General features: G+C 48.8%; 1 protein-coding gene across 9 annotated transcripts in view, besides 2 other annotated features; it reads right to left on the bottom strand.

Annotated features, from left to right (window-relative positions):
- The window catches only part of PPP1R7 (protein phosphatase 1 regulatory subunit 7), a 34080-nt gene that overhangs the window by 16219 nt on the left and 6602 nt on the right, over nt 1-11259 (bottom strand). For 5 of the 9 annotated variants that reach the window (NM_001282412.1, NM_001282413.1, NM_001282409.1 and 2 more), the window contains 6 exons: nt 9572-9627; nt 8885-8950; nt 8091-8221; nt 6940-7102; nt 4033-4149; nt 993-1097 (listed from right to left, as the gene is read on the bottom strand). In NM_001282412.1, the coding sequence (NP_001269341.1) occupies nt 993-1097; nt 4033-4149; nt 6940-7102; nt 8091-8221; nt 8885-8950; nt 9572-9627 (638 nt within the window). Of the gene's footprint in view, nt 1-259; nt 390-992; nt 1098-4032; nt 4150-6939; nt 7103-8090; nt 8222-8884; nt 8951-9571; nt 9628-11259 lie in introns of those variants that run through there. The other 4 variants (XM_047444851.1, NM_001282414.1, NM_001282410.1 and 1 more) reach the window with 1 other exon arrangement.
- Nucleotides 193-692: an enhancer, noted in NCBI's record as "H3K27ac hESC enhancer chr2:242106157-242106656 (GRCh37/hg19 assembly coordinates)". NCBI's record gives its function as "activates a minimal SCP1, AML or CMV promoter by ChIP-STARR-seq in primed H9 embryonic stem cells {active_cell/tissue: H9 hESC(primed)}" and the evidence as "EXISTENCE:reporter gene assay evidence [ECO:0000049][PMID:30033119]".
- Nucleotides 8623-9123: an enhancer, noted in NCBI's record as "H3K4me1 hESC enhancer chr2:242097726-242098226 (GRCh37/hg19 assembly coordinates)". NCBI's record gives its function as "activates a minimal SCP1, AML or CMV promoter by ChIP-STARR-seq in primed H9 embryonic stem cells {active_cell/tissue: H9 hESC(primed)}" and the evidence as "EXISTENCE:reporter gene assay evidence [ECO:0000049][PMID:30033119]".

Here is an 11259-nt window from a genome sequence, read left to right as displayed (position 1 = left end):
CACAGGTGAACACTTGGTTTGCATGCTAGTTTTATAAACTTTTAATTTCAATGCAAAGTCAAAGGAAGGTGACCAAACTTTCCACAGGCAAATTTGAATTTTTCCAAAATTTTATGCAGGTGTTGGTGAAATTTACTGCTGCCAACTAGGCCCTGGGGTTGAGGCACAAAGGCCTTTAATGAGATTGAAACACTATGTTTATAGACCAATCTGGTTGTATTTGCTGGCAATTTAACAAAACAGAAAAAAACAAGTAAAATTGAATGAGAAAAAGTCTTTTATTTGTCTTGAACACCGCACTGGGGCAGAGCAGGGTGAGCTGGAGGCAGCTGAGGAGGGTGGGGGCTCTGTGAGCACACTTCCCCTCAGTACGTGAGGCTGTCCTGCACCTGAGTGAGAAGGGCCGGGGAGGGAGGGAGGAGCATGAACAGGTGAGGACAGGTGTGGAAAGCAGGCAGGGAGGAATGGGGGAGGAGGAAGCTGCTCATACTGTAAGAAGAGGAAGGGGCTGGGACTGAGAGCTGGTCCTGTGCTCTCTGTGGGCTGGGAAGTAGGGGCTGAGGCCAGTGGACCCATGGACAGGTCAGTGGCCTAAAGGGATGCCAGTCACCCTCATACAGGGCCCTTTACGAGCAGGTTGGGTTTGTTTTTTTCAAATCTTGCAAAATGCCTGCAGTGCACAGTGGGTGTGCAATGGATGCTGCCCCATTGAGGAAGCCTAGGGAAGCCTGTGCTGAAATCCCACATAAAGCGTCAGCCCTTCAAGGCACACTCAGGGCAGAGGGCCAACAGGCACACACAGCTCCTGCACTTTTCAGTATGAGGAAAGGGTCCCTTAGTTTTTAGGATGGGAAGGTCTTTCTGATAAACCTCCAGAGGCAGGGCATCTTCCTGACACCGGCCCGAGAGGCCAGTGTGTGCTGGCTGGCCAGGTGCCTGCCCGCCTGGTGCCCACCGCCCACACAGCCCCAGACAGACAGTGGGTGTCTTACATTGTTCTCCAGGCCCTCGATGACCTCGATGCCATTGTGGCTAAGGTACAGCTCCCGCAGGTTCACCAGGTTCTGCAGACCCTCGATCTTGGTCAGCCGGTTGCTCTGCAAGAGGGAGAGCACACAGCTGTCAGAACAGTACAGAAGGTATGAAATGAAACGGTTTTTAGGAAACGAGGTTTTGTGTTATCTTGAAGAATTCTAAGAACAGAGAATTTCACTTAAAACATGCTAGAATGGGGCCGGGCGCGGTGGCTCATGCCTGTAATCCCAGCACTTTGGGAGGCCGAGTGGGGCAGATCACGAGGTCAGGAGATCGAGACCATCCTGGCTAACGTGGTGAAACTCCATCTCTACTAAAAATACAAAAAATTAGCCAGGTGTGATGATGGGCGCCTGTAGTCCCAGCTACTCGGGAGGCTGAGGCAGGAGAACGGCGTGAACCCGGGAGGCGGAGATTGCAGTGAGCCAAGATCATGCCACTGCACTCCAGCCTGGGCAACAGAGCGAGACTCCATCTCAAAAAAAAATATATATATATAAAGGGCTGGGCACGGTGGCTCACGCCTGTAATCCCAGCACTTTGGGAGGCCGAGGCGAGAGGATCATGAGGTTATGAGATCGAGACCATCCTGGCTAACACGGTGAAACCCCGTCTCTACGAAAAAAATACAAAAAAAATTAGCCGGGCGTGGTGGCGGGTGCCTGTAGTCCCAGCTACTTGGGAGGCTGAGGCAGGAGAATGGCGTAAACCTGGGAGGTGGAGCTTGCAGTGAGCCGAGATTGCACCATTGCACTCCAGCCTGGGTGACAGAGCGAGACTCCGTCTCAAAACGAACAAACAAACAAACAAAAAACATGCTAGAATGGGACTCATGTAGAGAGAAAAAGAGGATCAAAATTTTGAGCCTGCTGTACTGAGCTAAAATTCATGCATGGGAATTACATGTTTTTTATATAAAGAATTCATTGTTAGGCCAGGTGCAGTGGCTCTCACCTATAATCCCAGCACTTTGGGAGGCCAAGGCAGGAGGATCACCTGAGGTCAGGAGTTTGAGACCAGCCTGGCCAACATGGTGAAACCTGTCTCCACTAAAAATACAAAAAATTAGCCGGGCGTGGTGGTGCACACCTGTAATCTCAGCTCCTTGGGAGACTGAGGCAGGAGAATCGCTTGAACCCAGAAGCTGAGGTTGCAGTGAGCCGAGATTGCACCCCTGTGCTCCAGCCTGGGCAATAAGAGCGAAATTCCATCTCAAAAAAAAACCAAAAAAAAGAACTCATTGTTAAAAGATACATTTGGTGAAGGTTTACCTGATTTAATAATTTTAAAGTGTAAAAATTACTGAATATTTTAAAGTAAATTAATTATAATTTCTTTCTTTCTTTTTTTTGAGATGGACTCTCGCTCTGTCACCCAGGCTGGAGTGCAGTGGCACAACCTTGGCTCACTGCAATGTCCTCCTCCTGGATTCAAGCATTTCTCCTGCCTCATCCTCTTGAGTAGCTGGGATTACAGGCGCCCGCCACCATGCCTGGCTAATTTTTGTATTTTCAGTAGAGATGAGATTTCACCATGTTGGCCAGGCTGGTCTCAAACTCCTGACCTCAAATGAACCGCCTGCCTTGGCCTCCCAAAGGGCTGGGATTACAGGCGTGAGCCACCACGCCTGGCCTAAGAGCTTTTTTTTATATTTTTAATTTTTTTAGAGATGGGCTCTCACTATGTTGCCCAGGCTGGTCTTGAACTCCTGGGCTCAAGCGATCTGACCGCCTAGATCTCCCGAAGTGCTGAGGTTACAGGCATGAGCCACTGTACCAGGCCAAGAACTTTCTTAAAGAAGCCTGACAAACTTCTGCTTCACCAAGGGTTAAGAGCGGTTTCCACATGCCCCTCAGTATCAGTCGAAGGGATCAGGGATCAACTAACCATACCGGGCCTCGTCCCCAGAGCACTCTGTTCCATCTCGCTTCAAGGGTCCAATTCTGCTAATTTGCTTCCAACACAAAAGGTAAACAGGAGCCTAGGCACACCCAAGTGCTTACCAACTCCCAAATGCAGAAGTCTAACAGGGTTGATATTCTCTGTGCAATGGAAGGAATTGCTTTTACCATTGAGCCAAACACTTTAGAATTTAGAATAAGCTCCACCTTCTGAAGAAGTCCCCTTTGGCTAAAAACCATCTATGACTGCTACTGGGGCAGAAGGGGGAGGTGGGTGGGTGGAAAAAGCCAAAAACATGGCACTTAAGAAAGAAATTTTTTGGGAGGCCAAGGCAGGAGGTTTGCTTGAGTCCAGGAGTTCAAGACCACCCTGGGCAACATAGGGAAACCCCTTCTCTACATAAAATACAAAAATTAGCCAGGCATGGTGCTGTGTACCTGCAGTCCCAGCTACTTGGGAGGCTGAGGAGGGAAGATTGCTTGAGCCTAGGAGTGTGAGGCTATAGTGAGCTATGAATGCACTTGTCACTGCACTCCTGCCTGGATGACAGAGTGAGACCTTGTCTCTTAAAAAAAAAAGAAAGGCCACGAGTGGTGACTCATGCTTGTAAACCCAGCATTTTGGGTGGCCAAGGCAGGAAGATCACTTGAGGTCAAGAGTTCAAGACCAGCCTAGGCAACATAGTGAGACCTCATCTCTTCCATTCCTCACCCCCTTGACAAAATATTAGCTGAAGGTCGTGGTGCATGCCTGTAGTCCTACCGACTTGGTAGGCTGAGGTGGGAAGCTGGCTTGAGCCCAGGAGTTGGAGGCTGCAGTGAGCTATGACAGCACCACTGCACTGCAGCCTGAGTGACAGATAAAGACCCTGTTTCTAAAAAAGTGAAAAAAATAAATAAAAAATAAAAAAGAGAATCAAGTTTTTGCTTGGCACATGTGTGTATAAAGTCTATGGCATCTAATGTTTCAATTGCTTACTAATAGTGCAACGAAGTGCCAATTGTGAAGGCAGTGAAGGATAAAAACTAAGATTGTGTCCAGCAGCGCTGGCCCTGCCAGGGCTCGCAGGGAAGGGCGGCTCAGGAAGCTCCGTACCTGCATACTGAGGACTGTCAGGTTGGTGAGCGCATCCAGGTTCTGAAGTTTAGTAATTTTGTTTTTCCCCAAAAACAAACTCTCCAGGTTGGTTAAGGTGTCGATATTTTCGATTGCCTGTGGAAAGGACAGAACAGCAATGAGTACTGCAGTTGACAGGCTGCCCCAGGCAGCCAGCAGGTGCCTGGACCGGGGCAGAGCTATGTGGGCTTCAGCTCTGCGATGTGGGGCTAGTGACGTATCTGCTAAGACTTCCAGTGGAAATCCTACTTGAAGGTAGAATACAATAGTGGCGAGTCCAAGACTGTCTTGAGCTCATTCCCAACCCTCAGATTTCCTGGGGTGCTGAGGAACAGTCTCAGAACCCAAGGACCAGTAGATTCCCAAGTCCCTTCCAGTTCTAAATTTGTGAGCTGACACATTAAAATGTCCCCCTGTCGGGCGTGGAAATCCCAGCACTTTGAGAAGCTGAGGCAGGTGGATCACAAGGTCAGATAGAGACCATCCTGGCTAACACGGTGAAACCCTGTCTTTATTAAAAATACAAAAAAATTAGCTGGGCGTGGCGGCGGGTGCCTGTAGTTCCAGCTACTCCGGAGGCTGAGGCAGGAGAATGGCGTGAACCCAGGAGGCAGAGCTTGCAGTGAGCCGAGATTGTGCCACTGCACTCTAGCCTGGGCAACAGCACGAGACTCCGTCTCAAAAAAAAAAAAAAAAAGTCCTCCCAAGAGCCTCAGTCTCTACAGAAGAGAGGTACGGGGCACTCTGACCTCAAGTCTTTGAAATCCTGGGACCCTCACTTAGGATTCCTGGGGGGCCCTCACACCACAGCACTCTGCCCCTCTTGCCCAGTTTCCACACCCTCCTACATCACTCTTGCTGTGATCGTGTGCTCCTCTATTCAACCATAAACCTCCAGAGGCAGTGACCACGCTGCCCTGTCTGGTCTCCCCATGGTGACTTGCCTACAGCAGGATGTTTAATGACTGTTTATTGATTTGACTTCAGTTTCCCTCCTCTGTCAGTTCACTCTCTCTCAGAACAAGTCATTCTTTAAATATTTCAGCAGACACAAAATAACCAGATAAGGTGCATGCTAACCAGGTGGGGACTCTAGGAGGGGAGATGGTGTGCTAATCCACACACCACTGCAGGACTTGGCGGGGGCAGGGGCATCCTCACATGCTGTAGCCTGCATTAATTTGTGATGAGCCACTGTTGCCCTAGAAAGTTCCATAGTGAGACACTTGGTAAAATGCGGACATCTGGGCTGCTCTCTAGTTTTAAATGTGCTGCTTTGCTATTTGTGGCCATGACATCTCTAACAATAACTGTCAAGAGACTGTTGCCAAAACCACCCTCCCTTGGTTTGTATCCTGTCCAAGCTCTCAAGGGCCCAGGACAGACAGAGAATGCTGTAATACTTCCAGAAGCCAAGTAGAGGGGCATTCTGAACATGGGCAGGGGCGGATGTGCTTAGACACAGCTGCCAAAGCCACTAAGCCAGGCCGGGGGAGCAAAGGCTCCGTGCCATGACCCTGATTAGGAGCCAGGCACGGGGCTCAAGTGTTCTTCTGGCTGAGAGAAGTCCTCCTTCCTGCCCACGGGAACCCTCCCTCCTCCCTGCCTGGCAGATCCACCTCCAATGTCAGTCCTCCTGGGACGCCCTCCCAAGTTCCCCTCCAGCACATGACGGTGGTTATGAGTCAGCTGGTGAAGACTTGATCCTGCTTCTGTGGAACACCAGATCACTTTTCAAAATTCTTTTATTTCCATTCTGTCCCACGTTTTCAAGGTCAAATGGATCCTGGAGAACAGATCTAATCCTGCTGGGGACGGTGTCCAGGAGTATAAAGCTGTCCAGGGAGGAAGGCCCAACTCAGCACTGCCTTTGGGAGTGTGTCAGCATCAAGAGGTTTTCTAAAGCCCCCGGTATGTACATCAGTTCACTCCAAGTGACCACTTTGCTGGGCTTGGGAAACTTTCATCTCGAAGAAGCATGCCAGAGAAGATGACCATGATCAAGAGGCTTTCTAAAGCCCCGGTATGTACATCAGTTCACTCCAAGTGACCACTTTGCTGGGCTTGGGAAACTTTCATCTCGAAGAAGCATGCCAGAGAAGATGACCATGATCAAGAGGCTTTCTAAAGCCCCGGTATGTACATCAGTTCACTCCAAGTGACCACTTTGCTGGGCTTGGGAAACTTTCATCTCGAAGAAGTATGCCAGAGAAGATGACCATGATCAAGAGGCTTTCTAAAGCCCCGGTATGTACATCAATTCACTCCAAGTGACCACTTTGCTGGGCTTGGGAAACTTTCATCTCGAAGAAGCATGCCAGAGAAGATGACCATGATCAAGAGGCTTTCTAAAGCCCCGGTATGTACATCAATTCACTCCAAGTGACCACTTTGCTGGGCTTGGGAAACTTTCATCTCGAAGAAGTATGCCAGAGAAGATGACCATGATCAAGAGGCTTTCTAAAGCCCCGGTATGTACATCAGTTCACTCCAAGTGACCACTTTGCTGGGCTTGGGAAACTTTCATCTCGAAGAAGCATGCCAGAGAAGATGACCATGAGGAAGTTCAAGAGCAAGGCATTCAGGTTGGTTGGTTCATCTCAGGCAGAATGTAACTGGGAACAGTGTGATTCAGGGTCATGATCTGGATGAAGAGCAACTGAAATCTACGTGCGGAAGAAAGGCTAGACCACTCAGGACTTACTGATACTGACTTTCAGTTAGCATTTTTTCTTAAAAAAATAGTAATTTCCTTGTTCATGAAAAAAATCACAGCATTGTAAGAAATGCAGACTCACCATGCATTCTACATACACCCACTGAGTCCACACACAGCCCGCTAGCTGCCTCTCCCTGAATATACTAGTCAGGGCTGTCTGCACCTACCCGGATGCGGTTAGATCCCAGCTCTAGCATCTGTAGTTGATGTAAGTTGCTTAAGTTCTCAATTTTACTGATTTTATTGTTGACCAAGAAGAGTTTTTTCAGTCGTGTCAACTTGTCAACCCCTTCGATGTTTCTCAGCAGATTAAAAGAAATATCTAGAATCCTGAGAACAACCAAAACAGTTTTTTAAAAAAATTTCACGAGCATAGGTTGCATAGAACTCACAATTTAACCACTAAAGGTGGCGTCCCCATCAGGGGACGGCAGTCACTACCGGGTGGGAGAGGGTGGGGGGTTCTGACTGTGCCCCTGCTGCCGCCTGGCTCACACTGATGCTGTCATGAGGGATTTGGAGGCTGCCCAGGAGCCCGGAGCAAGCCAGAGGCAGCCTACAGGCTCCTGATGCCCTGGCTCCCAGTATGGTATTTGAGGCAGAAACTATGTTTTGTTCACACTTGTGCCCATGACAGGACCTCACACCAGGCTCTGCACACAGAAGGGGCCTGAGAAGTATTGAATTAGAAACAGAAACAAAACAAGCAAAAATGAATGAGCGACAAAGGGCAGAAATCCAGGTAAAGTTATAACTAGGACCTGGCTCCTTCTTTTTTAATTTTAATTTTAATTTTTGTAGACAGGGTCTTGTTATGTTGCCCAGGCTATCTCGAACTTCTAGGCTCAAGTGATCCTCCCAATTTGGCCTCCCAAAGCACTGAGATTACAGGTATGCACCACTGCACCTGGCCTAGGACCTGACTCCTTAAATTAGAAATGTCACTTTTTTTTGTAATTAAAAAAAAGAGTATTCAAAAGGCAAGAGGCAATTCTGGATTAACTTTCCTCTCTACCGATCTCAGTATCATCCCTGAATGGAGGCTTTCCAGAAGTCCCCACTGCAGCCTTCCCATCAAAGATTTACTTTGGAAGTCAGGATTGTTCAGGAAGCCAAAGACATGCATGAAGCCGATGAGGCCTCCTGGAGCCCTGAAAACAGGAGGCAGAGACTTGGGATTCAGATGCAGGGCAGGACCCTGTGGCAGAGGCAGCCTCTCAAGGGCTAAGAGCCAGCAGGAGGTTGGCTCTGGAGACTGGACACCCCCCACCCAGTGGCCTTCCCACCATGCTGTTCTCCTGTGGGTCTCATGACTCACTCCAGCTCTGTTAGCGCCTCCAGATTCTCAATCTTCTTGATCTGGTTGTCGTAAAGATCCAGCTCTCGAAGACTCTGTAGCTCCTCCAGATTCTCAATGCATTTAATTAAATTTTGGCGGAGGCAGAGAGTCTGGGGGATGGGAAAAGGGACAATTGACACAGGCAAGGGGGAGGCCACGAGAAGGCCTCAGCTGATACTGGAGGACACAAGAAAGGCCTTTCTGGTAGAAGGACATGTCTTCATTCTCCTGCTGTTTCCTAGAAAGGTGCTGACCTTTGAGAGGCAGGTGGGCAAGGGCACTAAGCTATAATTCCTTAACACACCTGAGGAAGGGCGGGAACCCAAAGGGAGGCAGGAGGCAGGCTCCCCACCAAGCAGGCCAGTTGGGGAGGGAGGCGTTGGCCTGGGGTGTGGGTGTCTGCCACTTCCTGGCAGAACATAAGAACCTTTGGTGGGCTCAATTTTGACAAATTCCAATGAGAGGCACGGAGGACTGTAAAAGTCAGCGAGTGCCTAATTGAACACAGGCACAGAAACCGAGGCAGGCCAGAGTCACAGGTCACTGGCTGCCTGGGCTCAGGAGAGCCAGCCCCAGGGCTGTGCCTCAAGTCCCTCGACTGCTGTCTCACACCTGCTGTGCTCCCAGTAAAGAAAGGCCTGCTACAAGGTGGAGGCAGCCACGCCGCCCACAGGCTGGGACAAGGACCACAACTCAGGACTGACTGCTCGATTCTGGACTTATCCACATCCTATGGGTGAGCGTCATAGTCCCCTCATAAGAGTCCCTCTCACCTTCACTTTCTTCAGTACCTCAAATCCTTCAATCTTCCCTATGCGATAGTGATTCAAATCAACATCCTGAAACAAAGCAGAAATCTATACTCAGCTATAGCAAAGTGGCTGGAGACCTGTGTCGTCCTAGAAGAGGCGGCCTGGAAGTGGGCAGCAGTGGGGGAGGCAGTGCCAGGTGGGTCTGCAGCAGACAGATGTCAGTGACAAGGTGTGCTGCGGGGGCTCTTTGGCTTAGTGATGACTAAGTTTTATGTAAAACTGGCCCTTAAAATGATTGGTACATGACATCTTTTTCTCATTCCTTAGATCCTGTATGCACAAAACATAAGCTCAGGTTCTGAGGATATGCACCCCATCCCATCACCATCAGAGACACGCTGTGGGCTCAGGAGGCCCAGTGGCCAGTCATACACAGCCTGGGGCCATTGGGACCCTCATGTATAATGTAATCATCAGACCCAGACAATGTATGAGTCAAAGGCATCTCATCTGCCACACAATCCTCAAGGGTCGAATAGACATGGGGATAACAATCACTGGTAAGAAAAACATGAACACGGGACTCTGACTCAACCAAGGGAGGCTTAGGCCACCTCTCTAGGGAAATAACTTACTAATCTCATACAAGATAACCTGACAGGGTGGTCCATCACCACGCCCAAGGCTGGGCTGAGCAGGCGGCATTACCTCTGCATCTCTGTCCAGGTTGATGGTTTCCATGTCCACAGGCAGCTCATGTTCTTCTGAAAAAATAAGAAAAAGAGATTTGTTCAGAACCCCATTAACAGGAGGCACTGGTGAAGAGCTGCTTCTGGCTGAGGTCTGGGGCTGTTTGGTGCCCAGAGCCAGCTCAAACCCCGAGGAGGAACCAATGGGAAGGTTTGCTGAGGACCTGGAGAATGTGGCAGGGTTAGACCCTGCTCCAACAATAGTGATGTTTTAAGCATTCTGAATTTCCTGAATTCAGATATTGGCAAAGGTCACCAAACATCCATCTGTGCCTTTGAACTTCCTGAGAAAGGAAATGTGTTTTGAACCTGTTAGTGGGAAGGAGGGGAGGAAGTAGCTGAGTGCAGGTGAGCAGGGTAGCACTACTGCCTTTCCGTGACTCCCAGAGCTGCAGAACTGGCAGCAGCCTGCCTCCCATGTAGCTTTTCTCTTTTTGTTTGTGGCAATAAACCAGGCCATTAGAATCTAGACCATGCTGGGCACATCAGATGCTCTAGGATGGGCCTTTTATTGCTTTGGAAGGTGGCCCAGCATCTACAAACACTTCCCTCTGCAAAGAGCAAAACAAAACAAAACATAGTTCAACAGATAGGATCAAAGAAGCTCACTGAATAATTTAAACACACTTCTCAGTGGGGAGACTGGTGAACTCACTCCAGCAGAGAAGCCCATTGGATTTCACGAGGACTCTCTACCCCGGAGCCGGCATCCTCTGTGCGGAGGAGGGAGAGAGCTGCTCTCCCTGCTGAGGCGACAGCTTCCCTGTTAAGCACTTCCTCATTTCATTTCATTGGAACCTACTTCAGCATGTGTGCTGAAAAGGACTAAGACACACACAGATGCACACACACACGCATGCACAAAGACACACAGGCACGTATGCACACTACACAGACACACGCATGCACAACAGTGGTATACACAGACTCATGCAGACACACAAACACGCACACTCACCCCTCAAAACACTTAAAAAAATTAACAGTAATTCCTCAATATCACCAAAGATTGTCAGTGTTCGTATTTCCTCAACTGTCTTAACATTTCTTTCCTTAGTTTACTTGCATTATGATCCAAATAAGGCTGTATATTGTGACTAGATGGTATTTCTCTTTTAAAAAACTTTTTTAAATTAATTTTTTTTTAAGAGACAGGGTCTCACTCTGCTGTTCAGGCTGGAGTATAGTGGTGTGATCATAGCTCACTGCAGCCTTGAACTTGTGGGCTCAAGCAATCCTTGTCTTAGGCTCCCAGGAAGCTGAGACTACGGGTGTGTGCTACCATGCCTGGCTAATTTTTTAAAACCATGTTTTGTACAATCAGGGTCTCGCTATGTTGCCCAGGCTGGTCTGGAACTCCTAGCCTCAAGTGATCCTCCCACCTTGGCCTCCCAAAGTGCCAGGATTATAGGCACGAGCCACTGCACCCAGCCCAGCATTTTTCTTAAATTTCTTTTTTCCCCTTGCAGTTTTCTGTTGTAGGAAAACAAGCTGTTTGTCTTGTAGTGCTTCTCCCAGTCTGGAGTCTGTGAATTATATGCATAGGATGTTCTTTCTCCTGTAAACAGATTGTCATTGTCACTACCTTACAGGGCTGTCAGTGCTGTTACTGTGGCTCTTCCTAGAGCAAACGTGCACTTGCTTCTG

This window comes from Homo sapiens, chromosome 2 (assembly GCF_000001405.40).
Source record: "Homo sapiens chromosome 2, GRCh38.p14 Primary Assembly".
Classification (NCBI taxonomy): domain Eukaryota; kingdom Metazoa; phylum Chordata; class Mammalia; order Primates; family Hominidae; genus Homo; species Homo sapiens.
Note: the sequence above shows the minus strand (reverse complement) of the source record. Positions and strands in the feature narration are given on the sequence as shown.